Source organism: Homo sapiens, chromosome 9, assembly GCF_000001405.40.
Source record: "Homo sapiens chromosome 9, GRCh38.p14 Primary Assembly".
NCBI lineage: Eukaryota > Metazoa > Chordata > Mammalia > Primates > Hominidae > Homo > Homo sapiens.
Genome location: NC_000009.12, coordinates 84,502,992 through 84,523,833, shown reverse-complemented (window position 1 = coordinate 84,523,833; position 20,842 = coordinate 84,502,992). Strand labels below are relative to the sequence as shown.

General features: G+C 41.1%; 1 long non-coding RNA gene across 12 annotated transcripts in view, besides 1 other annotated feature; it reads right to left on the bottom strand.

Annotated features, from left to right (window-relative positions):
- Nucleotides 1–20,842, bottom strand: part of LOC102724036 (uncharacterized) — a 247,231-nt gene that overhangs the window by 133,198 nt on the left and 93,191 nt on the right. For all 12 annotated transcript variants that reach the window (XR_007061623.1, XR_007061626.1, XR_007061624.1 and 9 more), the window contains one exon: nt 2,609–2,772. This is a non-coding gene — a long non-coding RNA (uncharacterized LOC102724036). The remainder of the gene's footprint in view (nt 1–2,608; nt 2,773–20,842) is intronic.
- Nucleotides 10,441–11,640: an enhancer, noted in NCBI's record as "MED14-independent group 3 enhancer chr9:87127109-87128308 (GRCh37/hg19 assembly coordinates)". NCBI's record gives its function as "activates an origin of replication core promoter dependent on BRD2, BRD4, P300/CBP and CDK7 cofactors, and independent of MED14, by STARR-seq in HCT116 cells {active_cell/tissue: HCT116}" and the evidence as "EXISTENCE:reporter gene assay evidence [ECO:0000049][PMID:35650434]".

Sequence of the window (20,842 nt, the reverse complement as noted above, 5' to 3'; positions counted from 1 at the left end):
GAGCTATCATATGATAGAGCAGTGCCACTGCTAGGTGTATACCCATAACAAAGGCAATCGGTATGTTGAAGAGATGTCTGCACTCCCATATTTATTACAATGCTATTCACAATAGCCAAGATTTGGAAGCAACCTAAGTGTCCATCAACAGATAAATGGATAAAGAAAATTTTTCACATAAACACAGTGGAGTACTATTCAGCCATAAAAAAGAATGGGATCCTGTCATTTTCAGCAACATGGATGGAACTGGAGGTAATTATGTTAAGCAAAATAAGCCAGGCACAGAAAGACAAACTTTCCATGTTCTCACATATTTGTGGGAGCTAAAAATTGAAACATTTGAACTCATGGAGATAGAGAGTATAATGATGGTTGCCAGAGGCTGAGAAGGGTAGTGGAGGAGTTGGGGGCAGGGAAAGTGAGGATGGCTAATGGGTACAAAAAAATAGAATAAATAAGATCTAGTATTTGATAGCACAACAGGCTGACCATAGTCAATCATTATTTAACTGTACATTTTAAAATAACTAAGAGTAAAATTGAATTTTTTGTAACACAAAGGATAAATGCTTGAGGTAATGGATACCCCATTTACCCTGATGTGATTATTATGCATTGCATGCCTGTATCAAAGTATCTCATGTACCCCATAAATATATACACCTACTATGTACTCATAAAAATTAAAAATTTTAAAAAAGAAGACATAGAACTATATTCATTGGCATGGGAAAATGTCCACATTATATTAAGTGAAAAATGCAGCTTGTCCATTTTCTCCCAGTTTTACGTGTGTGTGTGTGTGTGTGTGTGTGCGCGCGCGTGTGCGCCTATAAATGTATAAATGCATGGGGAAAAGTCTAAGGGATATACAGTGAAATTTTCACAGCCTTTTTCTCTCAGCAGTAGAATTACAGGGAATTTCCACTTCTTTATATTTTTCTGATTATCTGATTTTTTTTTACAATGAAAATATTTTACTTTAGGAATTGTTCCCAGACCAAACTGAGGGTCGGGCTGCTATTTCTCATGGCCCAATAACAAAATGCAGATGAACTGGGGAGGAAGAGAGTTTTTATTTCTGCAACCGGTAATAGGGAGAAGGCCTGGAAGTTATCACCAGAGCAACTCAAAATTACAAAGTTTTCCAGAGCTTATATACCTTCTAAGCTACATGTCTACGTGTAAATGTGCAGTCAGAAGTGATTAACTTCTTTTAAGCTGTAACTAAGGTCTGAGTCCTGAAGACCTTCCTCTGGAGCCTCAGTAAATTTACTTAATCTAAATGGGCCCAGGTGTTGGGGTAATTGTCCTTATCTTGTCTCCTGCTAAATCACGGAGGTTTGGGGAGTTCTTTCAGACCCCCAATAAACTTTTGTGGAGGCCTGGGGAGTTTCTTCAGACCCACAATAAAACTTGTTTAACCCTAAATGGGTCCTGTTAAGAATTCCTTCGTTATTTTGTCATGCTCTAAGGCCCAGAAAAGACCTAGGCAAAACTCTTAATTGGCTTTTGTTATATCCTAGCCTTTGTATAAGGGTACTGGCTTTTAACTTAACCACTTGGTCAGTACTGAAATCGTTGTTATGGAGACCTGCATTAGTGAGACTTTGCATGCCACAGAATCAGAAAAAAACTTAAAATAATTTATATTGAGGAGAATAAAAGCAAGAAAGATGAAGTTTAAGCAAAGAAATTCTAGGTTTGGAAACTTCTGGGTTTTGCTACTGAATTTATTCAGCCTGTTAACTTTTTTTTTAATATCTCTTAAAGTATCTTAAAGTAGCTCAAAAGATTTTTGTTTGTTTGTTTACTTTTTCTCTTTCACTGAGCAGCAACTCTTTGCAGACATTCATCCCACTAACAATTTAAAGCAGACATCAGCATTCCCATTTCATCCATAAGAAAGCAGTCTGGGACTAATAAGAGGGCAGGACCTGTACCCCAGAGCATGTTGCAGAGGAAGCCCAAAAAAGCAGCACGCTGTGGCTTCCTGATCTGGGAGAAATATTTGGTGTGAAGTTTATTAAACAGAGGCTAAAGCCAGGCTCTCTTCGAATCCCAGCTCTGTCACCATGGCTGCATCATCTCAGGCAAATTACTTTACCTAGCAGTGATTGCATTTCTAGATCTGTAAAATAAAGATGATGAAGATAGTATCTACCTTAATAGCCTGCTGCCACGGATAAGTGTTATATAAGGTGGAACACTGGAAGTGCTCCACGTTTGCTGTTATGTTACCATTTCCCACGTGGGTCCCAGTCTCCCCACCCCCAATAGCAAGGATTGCACCAGGGCTTCACCATGGCCACATCGGCCTATTAGCTTCCAATTATTATGAAGGCCCTGCTCTAATGGCAAGTGCTCAAGGGGAGTTTCTCCCATAGTTCCAACCCCTCCTCCCATCAGCTACTTGTCCTAAGCATAAAATGTAAATGTTCACATTCTAAACACTCATTAACTAACACACAGGTCACAAGGCTGTAGAGCTGGTGGAGTCAGAACTCAAACCCATATTCCACCTGGCTCCCCTAAACCTGCTATGTACTTTCTACTGCTGATAATATGTAAAGAGGTAAAAGTATATTTATATTAGCAGGCTTACCAGGTCAATGGAGATGAAACTTAACGTGTCTGATGGCTTTTAACATGCATCTGGTCCTGGGCTCATTTTTGTTCTTTGTGGCACTTTTAATCTTGCAAAAGGCATACTTGTGGAATTTCCAGACAAAGGTTCCTGTTCTTCAAAAAGGTAATAAAGAAGTGGATCTGAAAAAAAAATGCCAAATTATCTTTTAAAAATAAAAGCAGCCCCATACCCGCTGCCTGAAATTCAGTGAAGGCAGTTACATGTGCACGTTTTATCATTGTTGCCCATTTACCCTCACCAGGGAACATCTTCTGGTGTCCCATAGGGTCACATTTTGAAAATCTGACCCTAAACATTTTCACACTGTGGATTAGACTTCAAATGAGATTTTGATTCATGTTTTGTGTTCTTAAAAACTTGGTACACCTTACCGATTACTGGGGAAAAAATTCTAGTTTCACTCAGTCACGCTGATATCCCAATAGTGTTTATGGGTATTTGTTATATCATACAGTGGCCACAGCTTTTGAAACAAATATCAGGACATTTGGTTTGACAGTCAGGAGTATATTTATGGGGACAGAATAGTTAGCCAACCACAAAATCCAGGCCACATGCATGCCATTAACTATATATAAAGAATGATCTGCATGAATAATATATAGATGTACAGGCTGGCTAGTGTCTTTGTACCAGCCAATGTACATGAACAGTCTTTCAGAGGTCAACTAATTGAGTTGCTAATGTTGATTTTGTTCTTCTTTCCAGTTGCTTATTTAATTCATATCAACTATCTTCATTAGGTTAGTTAATCTGACAAAATGATCATGTATCCTTATATTACCTCTTCTCTAAGACAAATATAAAATTATTCGTTAAAATGTTTGAACTCTGCTAAAAGACTCATGAGAACTATTATATAAATAAACCATTAGGTAGACAATTGTGATTAGGGCAATATTGTACTAATTGCTAATGGATAAAATTATGATGATCATCAGACACATCTTAAAATTATACACATTTTAATGAAAATCAATAGTCTTATGTATGTTATGGCCCATTTCTCTAAACAGTAGTGCAGATTTGCAAAAGAGCAGATGAACCCTATCCAGCTGTGAACTACAGAACCATAATAACGAAAAGGACCTACATTCTAAGGCTGTTCTGTAGGTTCAATGAGGTTATATTTGTAATGTGCTTAAAACAGTCCCTGGCACATAGTAAATGCTATACAAATACTGTTAGCAGTGTTGGCTTTAAGATAGAATTGTTAACTTTCTTTTCAAAAGTCTTTTGAAAAACTTGTCAGAAGTTTCATTTAAAGTTTATTTTTTGATGTAAAACATTTTTCTGCTTTTCAAATGTAAAACCTGTGAATTAATCATCATGGATTAAAACTCACAACCTATTCATACTTACTTATGGGCTTTTTTGTTTTTCCACAACTGTGTGGGTGATGGCCTGGAACCAACTCTCTGCCTAAACATGATCTGCTATTCCCTCTTATTTTGACCAATCTGACCCGTCAAGACACGACAAATATGCATACACAGCTATACTACGTTCCTAAATATGGACTCTGAGCAAACATGACAAATATATGAAACCTTGAATACATAAAACATTTTAAGTAAGTCTGGTTAATTACAATACAAACAAGCTCTCCACTGCACTAAATGAGTCATTGGTTCTCCCAGATGGTCTGAATAGGGTTCAAGCGACATTAAGAGAAAACAAAGTATGTCCTCAGATATTCATGGAGCTGAGGAGAATGGAGCCACACGGGGAGCTATAGTTCAGCATGTCCCATGCTGGGGAAGGACTGTAAGATCCTGTCTGATAAACCAGTCAGGTGTGGCCTTACAGAAAAGTCTATTCCATAAGGGCCTAAAAATTTTTACAGGAAAGGACTTATAAGAAAGGAACAGTGAGACAACCTCGAGTTGGTAGAAAAGCCAAGTGCTATGTTATAAAAACTGTATCTCCAAACCTTAATCTGTGTCCAAATTTTATGTGGGCATATGAGTGTGGGGGTGAAGGGGGGAAATCAAAGAAAAGTGAATATTACAAATGCTGTTCTACCAAGCATTGTGAAAGACTGAGACACGAGGCTCTCAGCTTCTGTACATCCCTAACAAATTTAACATGAGGAAGTGGGGTCTCTTTTTCCCCCTCTCCACACAATAACATCCACTTGGGCAGCTTGAAGTGTCTGTACCAGGATGAGGGGTAGCCCCTGGCAGATGCAAGGGAGAAATCATGAGGCAGCCTGTGATGTGCAGGACAGCATTTAGCAAGACCAGGCAGAAGGACCCAGAAAAAGTAGTATTGTCCAGCAGATGGGCCTGGAAGAATTGAGAGGCGAAGGCAGCTGGGCTCCTGGGTTGGGTGGGGACTTGAAAAACTTTTCTGTCTCACAAGAGGTTTGTAAAATGCACCAATCAGTGCTCTGTAAAAACGCACCAATCAGTGCTCTGTGGCTAGCTAGAGGTTTGCAAAATGCACCAATCAGTGCTCTGTAAAAATGTACCAATCAGTGCTCTGTGGCTAGCTAGAGGTTTGTAAAATGGACCAATCAGCACTCTGTAAAATGGACTAATCAGCACTCTGTAAAGTGGACCAATCAGCAGGACATGGGCAGGGACAAAGGAATAAAAGCTGGCCACCCCAGCCAGCAGCGGCAACCCACTTGGGTCCCCTTCCACACCATGGAAGCTTTGTTCTTTCGCTCTTCACAATAAATCTTGCTGCTGCTCACTCTTAAGGGTGGCACACCTTTAAGAGCTGTAACACTCACCACAAAGGTCCACAGCTTCATTCTCGAAGTCAGCGAGATCACGAACCCACTGGAAGGAACCAACTCCAGACACAGAATGACTCAAGAGAACAGAAGAGACACTGACACAGCATTGTCAGAGGATGAAGATCCTGCTTCACCCAGTAGAACAATAGCCAGGAGAGGAGTTCAGCAGCAGACTCAAGCAAGTAAAAGAAAGAATCAGTGAACTGGAAGATAGGACAGTTGAAATTATTGAGTCTGAGAAACAGAAAGAAAAAACTGAAGAAAAGTGAAAAGTGAACATATGCAGATAATATATTGAATACACATCATAATCTGCTCTTCCATTTAAATATGTGCATACAAATATTTTTTGCACTAAATTCTCAAAAATTAATAGAATTTCAAAAATGCAATCAACAAAGGGGTCACTTTTTACAGCACCTGTTGAATAATTAATAACATTCCACAAAATATATTTGTTCAGTGCCTACTATGTTGTTATGTACAGTGGAGAGGCAAAGGTGAATACTACAGAGAGGTCAAATTCCAATGAGTGGGTCCAGGGCAGGGCTATGAATTGTTACCTGGGCAGTCTCAGACAGTGCTTGCTTTAATTCTCTACATCATTGTCCTAAAATTCTTAATAATTTTTGAACAAGGGCTCTGCAGTTTCATTGTGCACTGCAGCCCCACAAGTTACATAGTCAGTCCTGCAGGACACATGAATATGAAGAAAGAGAGAGTGCAAACAAAGACACAAACACTGGGAGCCCCCAGCCAGGGTGGGGTGCAACTTGAGGTCAAGGAGTATTTTCTGGAGCAAAGTAATTGTTGAAGAGCAATAAGAATTAGCCAGAGCTGTGAGATTCTCTCTAGTTTGAATATTCACTCACTGAGGGTTTAACTGTTTTTTAAGATTAAACACACATCTTTGTACATGTGCATAATATTGTTGAAAAAAATTATACCAAACATGAAAACAAGGCAAAAGTATCTTCAGGCCTTTGGGATTATCCTAGAGGATTTCTTTACAGGCTACCTACAGAGTATCTGACTTATGTCTCTAGAGCAGGGGCCAGCAAACTTTTTCTGTAAAGGGCCAGATAGTAAATATTTTTGGCTGTGTGGGACATATGGTCCCTGTCGCTACTACTCACTCTGCCACAGTAGCACGAAAGCGGCCACACATGATGCACAGATGAATAGGCGTGCTGTATTCCTGGGCTCCACAGAGCAGGCTGGGGCTCCAGCTCTCAACTGCCAATCCTGCTCTAGGGCATGTAACTTCTCTTTGACTCCTCATTTACGACTGATAAAGTCCCAGACTGAGTAAAGTTAGATGTTACCTTGTAGATTGATAAATGGCAAGTGATTTCTAACTGGTAGAGTCTGTAACCCCAAAACTTACAGCTTTATTGCCCAGCAGGATAGGAACTAGTTTTTTATTAACTACTTTTGTATTAACTTTGTGTGATCCTATCCCAGCAGTCTTTCCTCCTCACTATATATGTATGTATGTATATGTAGCTATAGATATGGATATAGATAGATATAAATAACAATATAGATATCAGCGTCTCATATCTGCCTTAATATCCTCTTTGTCATCCTTCTGGTGCCCTCATTAATTAGTTAAATCTTTTACATATACTTACTCTATATTCGTATGAAAATTGTGTTTTTAAGTTTTTTTTACTTTTTTTTTTTTAGAGACAGGATCTTGGTCTGTTGCCCAGGCTGGAGTGCAGTGATGCGATCATAGTTCACTATAACCGCTAATTCCTAGGCTCATGCAATCCTCCTGCCTCAGCCTCTCAAGTAGCTGGAACTACAGGTGTTGTGTCACCATGCCCACCATGCCTGGCTAATTTTTTTTTTTTTTTTTTTTTTTTTTTTGTAGAGACAGTGTCTGGCTATGTTGCCCAGACTTGTCTTGAACTCCTGGCCTCAAGTGATCCTCCTGCCTCACCTCAAAAAATGCTGGGATTACAGGCATAAGCCACTCTGCCAGCCTTTTAACTTTTTAAAATATCAACAGTGCATCTTGTCAGCACATATAAAAAGAGGCAGAGACAGACAGAGAATTAATGAAGAGCTTTAACAGGTAATGCTGCAAATGTGATTCTCTCTAAAGTAAATGCAGCTCATCTCAACAGCCTGAATGACTCTACCCCAATACAGAAATCTCACAATCTGCCTTATTTGTACATACAAACCATCTACAGGAAAGAGATCTAGAGAAGAGTTATCCTGCTCCTCCATCAGCCCCAGTCTCACCTCCTCTAAGCCAAGAACCTGTAAGGCCAAGCCCTCCCCACCCTTGCCCTGAATTCCTCCATGCTCTCCTGACATAGGAGCAACAAAACTCTTTCTCCTTAATTCCTCTAAGATACAGTTAGAATCTTCAAAGTGATAGTTTACTGCTGGATGCAGTGGCTCACACCTGTAATACCAGCACATTGGAAGGCTGAAGCAAGAAAATCACTTGAGCCCAGTAGTTCGAGACTATCCTGGACAATGTGATGAAATCCTGTCTCTACAAAAAATTTAAAAATTAGCCCAGTATGGTGGCATGTGCCTGTGGTCCCAGCTACTTGGGAGGCTGAGGCAGGAGGATCACTTGAGCCCAGAAGGTTGAGGCTGCAGTGAGCCACGTTCATGTAACTGCACTCCAGCCTGAATGACAGAACAAGACCCTGTCTCAAAAACAAAAACAATAAAACAAAGTAATGGTTTACTCTAAAGCCAGAAGTAAACAAAGGCATAAAAGCAGATTACCTGCAGAGGATGCTGTCAAAGTTCAATGCCACCAGCCCAAGCTCCTCAAATCTGGCTCATATGCACCTGGGCTGACACTCTACAGGGACAGGTACAAGGGCCAAGAGCAAAAGAAGGTAGCCCTGATGTGCATGGCTACACTGGGCCAGGCTACTGCCTGGTGTCTGTAAGTTCTCTTTTGTAGAAGAGAGTGAAGTGCGAGGGTTTTAGAAAGTGTATTTAGATAAGCCAGAGGCATAAACTACTTTAGACAATGGAGGCAGAGCCAGGGATCTACAGGCTTTGGGAATGGGATGGTTGCTGACCTGACAGCTACCCTTCCCTCCTACAGGACTCTCCATCCATTAGCCCACCACAATACACTCCTCTGCATTTGAACTCTATCAAAAAACATACGTCAAATAATAAATGAATTGGGAGGAAATAATATAAATGATTTTTGTGGCATATTCACTAATTGCTTTCATTTTATAGAGTCTCCACAGCTTTCTGACATGATTCATTTTAACAAATAGGTGAAGAAAAATAAAAAAGTTTGTTTTGTTTTGTTTTGTTTTTGAGTCGGAGTCTTGCTCTGTCACCCAGGCTTGAGTGCAGTGGCTCACTGCAGCCTCCGCCTCCGGGGTTCGAGTGATTCTTCTGCCTCAGCCGCCTGAGTAGCTGGGATTACAGGCGCCCACCATCACGCCTGGCTAATTTTTGTATTTTTAGTAGAGACGGGATTTCACCATCTTGACCAGGCTGGTCTTGAACTCCTGACCTCATAATCCACCCACTTCGGCCTCCCAAAGTGCTGGGATTACAGGTGTGAGCCACCGTGCCTAGCCAGAAAGATTTTTTTTTTTGAAGGGACAGAGACATCTTCATGTTTACTGTCACCCGTGGTACTTCCCATGTGGACCAATTTAAATCAGAGTCCTGACCATTGCTCTGTACCTTTAAATCCTCCTCCCTCAAAGTCATCTCACAAACATAAAATGAGGCTGTCTGTCCTTAATTATTTTGTTTCGGATTTGTTACAACCCAGCTCGCTTGCCCTACTTAAAACCCTTCTTGTCTGGGTGTTTCTGTGAGCTTATCTGCAAACGTTCCTCTCAACTGACGGCACAGCAGTGAAGAATTTCAAATTAGTGACAAAACACAGTTGAAAAGGCAAAACTGCAGTCTCCCAATGGGGAAAAAAAAAGCCATCTACATCTACCCAGGTGGTTTATTAAAATTCTATTTGTCTTTGAAATAATTTCTGTTTGGAAAAGTACACAATATATAGTGTATTCAAAAGGTATTTTAAATGCTTTTATAGATATGGGAACATATATTTTATAAATATATAAATTATATGTGTATAATGTGTGTGCATATTATATAAAGTGCAGTCCACTACAACACACAGTATGTCCTCTCACAATCAGAATGATGCCCATTGCTCTGAACCATGAGTAAGTGACAGATCATACGGACACACTTGGCCAGTGGCGATTTATGCCCCATACTGAGCACTCTCTCAAGCAGTGAGCACTCTTAAGTTGTGTGTGTTCTGTCATGCATGTTGTTTACTTTCCTGTGTCTCTTTTTCTTCCATGTGTTTGTATTCTGGTGAGTGATTTTTATCCACTCTGGCTGATAAAACTTGTAAAGGTCATTCAAGATGTGGAAATGCAAATTTTATGGCAACTGAAGGAGTTTTCAAGAAAATGGTCAACAAGACATTAAGAAACGGGGTCCCAAAACCCGTTAAGGTCTCACCAAGGCTTTTTCTATTTAGTCAAAACCAAGGTTTAACATTTATTACAAAATCAAAAAGCTATAAGCAGTTGTGTTTTCCAAATCAGATACTCTCAGTACTGGATCAAAATAGAAAAAAGTTTTTCCCACATTGGGGACTGCAAAGAAAGGTATCTATGCAACTGCCAACTACAATTCTAATTTAAGATACTCTGTGTGTGTGAAGTCACAGAATTTTTCCTTGATTAGCTCAATCTCATTACCCAATCCTCACCACCTGCGTACACTTTGCCCTGTGATTGCAACCACCCCCCCTTGTGTAGCTTGTGCTGGGTAATATCTTTTTGGCATGATGTGTGCACTGGACTTGCTCACTGAGTTAATCAACAATTGTGTTTTAATATTTTCTATTTATTGAACTTGGATTTCAGAGCAGTTTACCTTTAGATATGTGCATGCTCTAGCAAATCATCAAACTTGAAGTAAATATTACTCTTCTCCTTTCTAATTGCTTCCTTAGCAACTTTCACTTCTTACACCAAGGGTAATTTGCACAGAAAATCAGGTACCTATGTGCATTTAAAATGCACATCAAAATATTTCATAAAGAGCCAGCATTATAACTCGCCAAAGTTTTCTTTTTCCCCTTTTGATGAAGAAAACAAGCCAAACACCGTTCATTTCTGGACTGGAGATCATCAGCCAGCACAGCCTTGCTACTAAAAGATTAACTGAGCCTGCTTGTTTAGATAGTCTCTTAAGGTCATTAACAGTGTTCTCTTTGACCAAGTTTTTTTCTCTTATCCTATTTTGTGGGTCCCCTCTGAAGCACTGGACACTATTAGAATCTCCCTTCTCCCTCAACTTCCCAGACACTGCCATGTTCTGGTCCCCTCTGACATCCCTATCTGCTCCTCCTCAGCATTTCCCTATGAGATCCCTCTTTCTTCTGTTGGCATCTTAAATCCAGATGCTCCCTGAAAGAGAGAGCATTAATGGCCCAGTTATTCACCCCACCTTTATCCATACTCTTTGCCATATGACTTTGAAGTTCCTCTCACTGAAAAACAGGAGTATATTTCCCTGATCCTCAACTTCAGGTTCAGGCATGTGACTTCTTTTGACAAATGGAAAGTTAGTGGACATGACATGATCAAATGCTCTCTTGAGTGATTGTGCTTGCCCTCTTCTGCCTCTGCCATTGCCATGAGAAGAACATGCCCAGACTAGCCCATTGAATCCAGAAGAGTCAACCGGCTGGTGGCAAGAAAAGGATGAGAGGCACCAGAAGCAGAGCTCAGTCAGCATCAGCTGACTGCAGATCCACGGAGCATAAATGATTGCTGCTCTCAGTCACTCAGTCATGAGCTGGTTTGTTATGCAGCATTGTTGGGGGCATAACTGACAGACTCCCTGAGAGTCTGTTGTCCTTGCTTACTGAACTTGGCTAATTGCTGATGGCTTAGAGGCTAAACTGACCTATCATATTATATGGAGCACCCTTGATGCAACTAACTCCATCTTAGGAAAAGACTCCATTTTACATTTCGTAGGGCACCTTGCCAACAAAGATGTTTTGCCTGACAAACAAATAAAAAATAAAGACTGCATTCCACCACATAAAGACATAAACAAGTACACACTTCCACCGTCAGTTCTCCCCAGAGGACCCTGTGACCATCAAAGAGCTGGCCTTTAGCAGCTAGAATCAGCCATCTTAACTGACAACTGTCCCGCTGTCACTCATGGTAAGAACTTGGCATTTGCCTACAAAGGCTCTGCCACATCAAAGACTTCCCTGCAAGACCAACCAGCCCAAACCAAGACTACTTTTGTCTTCTTTGCTCTCCCTAGACTGGTTCGTTAACCCTTTCTCCTATCTCTTTTTCTCTTTATGTTAAATGTTTGTCGTGGAATGTTTAATCTATAACACTTATATATTGATTAAGTGTACTATTATGTATGGTTTGCAATATTGGCTGACTTGTGGTGTGGCTTGAATCTGTGTGCCCACGGCTCTGACTGCTGAGTGAACACAGAGTACTAAGGAGAACTGCCTCCTTGGCAACTCTATGTAGCTCATGGCTTTTGCAATTGAAATAGCATCAGTAAAGGTCTGACATTGTGGAAAGACACAAACATGCATGGACCTGCTATCTCTAACCTTGTACTGCTCATGACACATATAATAATAAATAATAAAACTGAATGATAAATAATAAAATTATTACTAAAAGTAACTAATAAAATACATGATAAATAAGAGCTAGATTTTTTAAGCTCCCACTATGTTTAAGGGTCATGCTAAGAGCTTTACATGTGTAAAGTCTAAAACTTATGATTTCCAAAATGAGGAGATACAATTATGCCCAATTGTAAAAGAGGAAACTGAGACTCGGTGAGGTAACGTGACTTGCCCAGGTTCTCCAACTAAGGAAAGGCTCCCCAGCATGTGTACCAGGTCTGTCTCACTTCCACACAGCAGGGCAAATTCTGAAAGCCACTTATTCCCTGAATTCAACCAAAGCAGCTTTACCTTTATCTGCTTTCTCTGTTGGCATTTCACATACTTTTTTTTTTTTTAACCTAAGTGTCTCATTATTAAAAAGGAAACTTTGAAAAGCATTGCCATACTCCATGCTGTCTTGTGACTCCTACCACAGCCAACCATGGACTGAGAGGGTAATGAAACATCGACAAAGTCATCTTGAACCAAAGGCCCTGCCCCTGGAGTTCAGTCACGCCACACAGCCTGTACCCACCCTGACAAAGATGGCACCTCTGATCTCATGGCAGCCTTCGATTCCGGAAAGATGTTTTGGAACTTCAGGAGTCTAAGCACCTGGGTCTACAGAAACAGAGAATATGCTCCAGGTGTCTAACCACTTCTCTGTAACTGCACAAATGTTGGTTTTGTTTCTTTATTAATAGTGGATGATGTGCAGGAATTGGCTTCCCATAGTGAAGTCCTCCTGTACCAGGCACAGTTCGATCAGAGAAACAGAAACCAGTTTCCAGCAGAAAGTGATTTCATATCAGAAGTTGGGTGTTTTCAGACTACTGAAAGGAAGATAGAGTGATAGGAGGCAGATGAGTTGTTGCCTGGGCCAGGATTGGGGCGAATTGATTGCCAAGGGGGAAAGGGAAACAATATGATGGTGCTTCCCTGATTGTACATATCTGTCAAAATTCATAAAACCAGGCCAGGCACCGTGGCTCATGCCCATAATCCCAGCACTTAGGGAGGCCAAAGCAGGAGGATCACTTGAGGCAAATTCAAGACCAGCCTGAGCAACACAACAAGACTCTGTCTCTACAAAAAAATGAAAAAAAAAAAAATTACCCAAACATGATGGCACACACCTGTAGTCCCAGCTACTCTGGAGGCTGAGGTAGGAGGATCACTTTAGCCCAGGAGTTCAAGGCTGAAGTTAGCTATGATCATATCACTGCACACCAGCCTGGGTGATAGAGACTCTGTCTCTTAAAAATATGTATATATATTGGCCAGGCGTGGTGGCTCATGCCTATAGTCCCAGCACTTTGGGAGGCCAAGGTGGGCGGATCTCCAGAGGTCAGAAGTTCGAGACCAGCCTGGCCAACATGGTCAAACTCCATCTCTACTAAAAATATAAAAATTAGCCGGGTGTGGTGGTGGGCGCCTGTAATCCCAGCTATTTGGGAGGCTGAGGCAAGAGAATCCCTTGAACCCAGGAGGTAGAGGTTGCAGTGAGCCGAGACTGCGCCATTGCACTCCAGCCTGGGCAACAAGAGCAAAACTGCGTCTCAAAAAAAAAAAAAATCATCAAAGTGTGTACTTAAAATGAGTAAACTTGTTGTGTGTAAATTACACCTCAGTAAAGCTTTTTTTTTTTTTTTAATGTTGCCAAAGGCTGGAGAATGCAAATCAGGAGGACTACCAGACAGTTAGATGACTACTACCTGCAGCATACAGGAACCAGGGGAAAACAAAACAAAACAAACAAACAAAAACCTCTTCATTATTGACTCTAACCAAAAGCCATGGGGCAGGCAAATGTCAGGGGAATCCAGAGGCTGCTGCGCAAATTCATGTCTGGCATCACTGGCAGAGAAGAATGAAGTTTCTACCTGTCTCCCATTGCCCGACTCCTCATCAATGTATCTCAAATGCAGAATTTAATTTGCTTCCAGAATTTGGTGGCATGGGATTGTAGGAAATATGTTTTCCAGGCTCCCAACCTTTGTACCATGACAGTAAAGCAAATATTGCAATAAAGCAAGTGGCATAAATTTTTTGGTTTCCCAATGCATATAAAAGTTGTTTACACTATACTGTCGTCTACTAATGTGCAATAACCTTATTGCTAAAAAAAGTATATAATCTAATTAAACAATACTTTATTACTAAAAAGTGCTAGCAATCATCTGAGTCTTCAGCGAGCGATAATCTTTTTCCCGGTGGGGGTCTTGCCTCGACGTTGGTGGTTGATGATCATGGTGCTGGTTGCTGAAGGTTGGGGTGGCTGTGGCAGTTTCTTAAAATAAGACAATAATGTTTGCCACATCCATTGACTCTTCCTTTCATGAAAGATTTCTCTGTAGGATGTGATGGTGTTTGATAACATTTTACCCACAGTAGAACGTCTTTTAAAATTAGAGTCAATCCTCTCAAATCCTGCTGCTGCTTTATCAACTAAGTTTACACAATATCTTGAGTTCTTTGTTCTCATTTCAACAATGTTCATAGCATCTTCATCAATATCAGGTTCCAACTCAAGAAACTACTTTCTTTGCTTACCCATGAGAAACAACTTATCTGTTCAAGTTTTATTATGAGATTGCAGCAATTCAGTCATATCTTCAAGCTCCACTTCTAATTCGAGTTCTCTTTCTATGTCCACCACTTCTGAAGTCACTCCTCCACTGATGTTTCAAACCCCTCAAAGTCATACATGAGAGTCAAAATCCATTCTCCCAAACTTCTATTAATGTTGATATTTTGACCTCCTCTCATGAATTACAAGTGTTCTTAATGGCATCTAAAATAGCTAATCCCTTTCAGAAGGTTTTCTATTTACTTTGCCCAGATCCATCAAAAGAAGCACTGTTTATGACAGATATAGCCATAAGGGACTTAAGAAATGTATTTCTTGGCCAGGCACAGTGGCTCACGCCTGTAATCCCAGCACTCTGGGGGGCCGAGGGGGGCGGATCACCTGAAGTCAGGAGTTCGAGACTAGCCTGGCCAACATGGTGAAACCCTGTCTCTACTAAAATACCAAAAAAAAAAAAAAAATCAGCTGGGTGTGGTAGCGCATGTCTGTGATCCCAGCTACTCGGGAGGCTGAGGCAGGGGAATCACTTGAACCTGGGAGGCAGAGGTTGCAGTGAACCGAGATCTTGCCACTGCACTCCAGCCTGGGCAACAGAGTAAGATTCCATCTCAAAAAAAAAATGTATTTCTTAAATACATTTGAAAGTCAAAATTAGTATTCAATCCATGGGCTGCAGAATGGACATGTGTAAGCCTGAGTGAAAACAACATAAATCTCCTTGTCCATCTCCATCAGTGCTCTTGGATGACTAGGTGCATGGTCATTGAGTAATAATATTTTGAAAGAAATCTTTTTTTCTGAGCAGCAAATCTCAACAATGGGCTTAAAATATTCAGGAAACCATGCTATAAATAGATGTGCTTTCATCCAGGCTTTGTTGTTCCCTTTATAGAGCACAGGCAAAGTGGATTTAGCCTAATTCTCAAGGACCCCAGGATTTTCAGAATGGTAAATGAGCACTGACTTACAGTCACAGGCTGCAATAGTCCGTAACAAATGATTCAGCCCATCCTGGGAACCTTTGAAGCCAGGCATTGACTTCTCCTCTCCAGCTATGAAAGTCTTAGATTACATCTTCTTTCAATAGAAGGCTGTTTTATCTACTTTGAAAATCTGTTTTGTGTTCCCACCTTCATCAGTTATCTTAGTCAGACATTCTGGATAACTTGCTGCAGCTTCTACGTCAGCATTTGCTGCCTCACCTTGCACTTTTATGTTAAGATGGCTTCTTTCCTTAAACCTCATGAACCAACTTCTGCTGGCTTCCAACTTTTCTTCAACAGCTTTCACACCTCTCTCAGCCTTCGCAGAATTGAAGAGTTGGGGCCTCACTCCAGATTAGGCTTTGGCTTAGAGGAATGTTGGGACTGGTTTGATCTTCTATCCAGACCACTGCAACTTTCTCCATATCAGCAATAAGGCTGTTTCGCTTTTTAGCATTGATGTGTTCACTGGAGTAACACTTTTAATTTTCTTCAAGAACTTTTCCTTTGCACTCACAACTTACCTGTTACGTGCAAGAGGCCTAGCTTTTATTGTATCTTGGCTTTTGACATGACTTCTTTGCTAAGTTTAATCATTTCTAGCTTTTGATTTAAAGTGGGAGACATCTGACTCTTTCACTAGAACTCTTAGAGGCCACTGTAGGGTTACTAATTGGCCTAATTTCAATATTATTGTATCTCAGGAAATTGAGAAAATTGGGAGGCCCAAGGAGACATAGAGAAACAGAGACAGAGGAACAAGTGGTTGGTAAAGCACTCAGAACACACACAACGTTTATTGATTAAGTTTGCCATCTTATATGTGCATGGCTTGTGGTGCCCCAAAACAATTACAATAGTAATATCAAAGATCCCTGATCAGAGATCACCATAACAGATATAATAAGTGAAGTGTTGGGAGAATTTCCAAACTATGACACAGAGACACAAAGTGGGCACATGCTGGTGGAAAAAATGGCACAAGGATTACTTGAGTCCTGGAGTTCAAGACCAGCATGGGCAACATAGCAACACCCTGTCTCAAAAAAATGGCACCAATAGATAGACTTGCCCAACATAGCATTGCCACAAACCTTCAATTTGGAAAATAAAAAAAGGCAATATCTGCAAAGTACAGTACAATAAAGTTTCAATACAACAAGATATGCATACAGGAACGCCTAAAAGCAGAGTCAGAGAGGACTTATATACAGTAGTTTATTTGGGACATGTATTAGTTTTCTATTGCTGCTGTAAAAAATTACAATATAGTGGCATTTTGTTAGAATAGCCCTATGAAAGTAATATATGGAGGTAAAATCAAGGTAATGGCAGTGCTGCTTTCCTTCTGGAGAATTTAAGGAAGAATTCATGCCTTGCCTTTTTCAGCTTTTGTTGCTTGCATTCCTTGGCTCATGGCTGCATCACTCTGACCTCTGTTTCTATTGTCACATCTCTTTCTCTGACCCTCCTGCCTCCTTCTTGAATGGACTCTTGTGATTACATGGGACCAACCTGGATAATCCATATCCTTAATTTAGTCACATCTGAAAAATCCCTTTGCCCATTAACATATTCGCAGGTTCTGAGGATTCATATTAGAACATCTTAGGGATCCATTATTCTCCCTTCCACACAGGGTAATGAAAGGCCACAACTGGGAACAGATCGATTCTGCCAAAACCTCCCGATTCTGAGAGCTCCCAGAATAGCCCATCTGAGCAAAGGGCTTCTGGAGCATTTATTTTCAGGCGTCCACTTCCTTTGAGAGCTGGTCCTAGGAGCACTGGCCTCTCCTCACTGCCAGGCTGTTTTCATGCTGGTTGAGCGTGATATGGTTTGGATCTATGTCCCCACACAAATCTCATGTTGAATTGTAATCCCCAATGTTAAAGGTGGGGGCTGTGAGAGGTGACTGGATCATCGGGTGCTTTCTCACAAATGGTTTAGCACCATCTCCCTTGGTGCTGTTCTCACTACGGTGAGTTCTCACAAGATCTGATTGTTTAAAACTGTGTAGCACTGCCCCTCTCTCTCTGTCTTGCCCCTGCTCCCAGCCATGTGAAGTGCTGGCTCCCTGCTTTGCCTTCCACCATGATTATAAGTTTCCTGAGGGCTCCCCAGAAGCCAAGCAGATGCCAGCATCTTGCTTCCTGTACAGCCTGCAGAACCATGAGCAATTAAACCTTTTTTCTTTATAAATTACCCAGTCTCAGGTATTTCTTTATAGCAATGCAAGAATGGACTAATACAAGTGGGCTACATGACATCAGAGAAGGCCCAGGCATGCGCTTGAGGTGGAACATTGTCAAGCTTACCCAGAACTGCTCACTGAAACTAGAGATGAAATCAGAGATGGGCCAATGGAACGTGATGTGGGACATGAGAGGCATCTGCTACAAGAAGAGAGCCTAATTCTGCTTGCCAAGAATCCACATTTTATCCAGCACGCCAATCCCTGGCAACTGCTTAGAATTTGATATTTGATTTTAAGTAGCAACTCTAGCCTGCTTCTTATATGCTACCCCAAACGATGTGTCTCCTGTTCAACATTTAGATTTATGAAGTAGTTATCTAACAGGTCTGTCTTATTGAATGCATAGGACAAGGTTTGCCACGTCGTTAGGGGTCAAAGTTGCTCCTAAGGAGAAGGATATTACCAAATGTGATCATCAGGCAGCAAGCGGGTCACAAAATAAGGTTTTGAAAGGGATCCACAAAAGAATCACAGGGACAAAGACAGTGGCTGTAGCCCACTGGCAGATGAGAAGGAATTTGCTGGGTCAGCCAGAAGGTCTCAGTTAGGTTACATGGTAGTGAGACATGCACTTCACTTCAATAAATCCTGATTTATCGAAACTCTGTGAAAGAGTCTCAGCCAAAGAAAAGTCAAGATCCAAACCCAGTTTCCCTAATCCTAAATCTCATCCTCTTTCCCTTACTCCAGAATGAGTCCTTTCACTTGTTGATGACAGTCAGGAGAATGTCCAGGTTTTTCAAAGATGGGTGGGCAGCATCTGGCCCTGTGCTGTCGGCTGTTGAAGGGGAAGGGCAGGAGAGGTCTCCAAGACTCCTCCATGAAGAAGAACGCACCTGGGGGAGAGGCAGGCTCCTAGTGACCCAGAGGGAAACACGGGCCAGATGAACAGAGGAGCCGGGTTTTTCTAGGTCACACTGTGAGCAGGCATCATGTTCCTACTGCAGACCCCACTGCAGTGTCTTGGTGAAGGAGCTAAGATGACCTTAGGCTGTTCTTGCTCCATTCTCCAGAGAGAGTTTGCCTTTCAATGTCTCCTTTCCCTGGGTTTTAAAGCTCTCCGGGATTGCGCCTTCCATTAGAGAGCATAATCCTCTTTTCTTCCAACTTCACCCAACAAGATCCAAAGCTATTTATTTTTCTGGATGTGTCCAGAACAGAAGCCCCTGACCCTTTGCTAATACTCTGGATGTTTTGACAATTTTTCCTGGCAGCTAGTTTATCGCAGATGTCCAGTGGACTCTTCTCCCGTCTATTCACCACTACCTTCCCTTGACAAAACCTTGGGTGCTTTAAATGAGTCATGCAGCCAAGGAGTTCAAGTCCAGCACTGCAGCAAGTTCCTTTGCTCAGTCATTCCTCCCTGCTGAGTCCTTCACTGTCTGACTTTCCTTCCTGTCATTTCCAGGGAAATGTTAACCAGTCTTTTGGAAACCCATCTAAATTGAATGGCTCCAGGCTCCAGTGGCAGGAAGGGCATTCCATTTTATAGAAAATCCTGGTTTATTAAAACTTTGTAAAGAAATCTTCTTCAGTCTGAGAGCCATTGTGTACCATCAATCTTCATTCAGCCATTAAGACTTGTTCAGTCTCATAGAAACAGATTGAATGAAATATCTTTCCCCAATGTTTTTGTTTTTTCTTAATGTAGAATGGAAAATAGTTATTTTGGATCCCTATGGACCATGCTGTCTCAAGACCATTACATGACTGACCCTTGTCATTCATCTCCCAATTCAGATGTACATCTTCATAGTCCTCCCTCGACGACCAGCCACCAGTTACTTTGTCACGTTACCCTATTTTCTTCTCTCCATAACATTTATCAAGATCTGAAATTGACCCATTTGTTATTTACTAGGGTTGTTTTTGTTGTTTGTTAGTCCCTATCTTCCAAGGAACACAAATTTCATGAGCCTAGGGATCTTGACTCTTCTTTAGTTGGGGGAGTCACCAGGGCTGGTCCCAAATTTCAAGTTCCCCTCTTCTCCATATGTAGGATTAGATGTCCCTTCTCCAATTAAAGTTGGGCACAGACATGTGATTTGTTTTGATCACATAAAAGCTGAATCAAAGTGTGTGTGTCTCTTCCAGGAGGAAGGTTTATGAACTAGTGTGTGATTTGCCAAATAAAGATGAAGTGGTTACAGAAGCGCATGTTCTGATGGAGTCTTCATCATGCTGGGTAAGTGGCTGGTGACAATGGTCAGAGCCCCCTGACGGCCCTCACTAGACTTCTAATGTAAATAAGAAATACATCTTCGTTGTATTAAGTCATTGAGGTTTGGAGGCTGTTTGTTACTGTACCATACTCTAGCTATCCTGACTGTGTTAGTTTCCTATTGCTGCTGTAACATGTAACCCTACTTAGTCACTTAAAAAAAATCACAAATCTATTATCTTTGATTTGTGGATGTCAGAAGTCCAAAATGAGTCTTATGAGAGTAAAAATTAGGGTGTTGATAGGGCTGTGTTTCTTCTGAAATTGTCAGGGGAGAATCTGTTTTCTTGCTATACAAGATTCTAGAGGCCACTTTCATTCTTTAGCTAGTCGGCCTTTACTCCATCTTCAAAGCACATCACTCTAACCTCTGCTTCCATCATCACATCGCCTTCTTTCTGACTCATCCTTTCCTCTAATAAAAACTCTTATGATTACATTGAGCCCACCTAGATAATCCAGGATAATCTCTCCAATCTCAAAATCCTTAATTTAATCACATCTGCAAAGTCCCTTTTTTCATGCAAGGTGGCACATTAACAGGATATGGGGATTAGGACATGGGTATCTTTGTGGGAGGAGGGTGTCATTATTCTACATACCACACTGAATTCTACAATAGTAAATCCATCACACCAAAAACAGTACCCATTATATTAAAGACCCTCAGTTAATATTTAGGG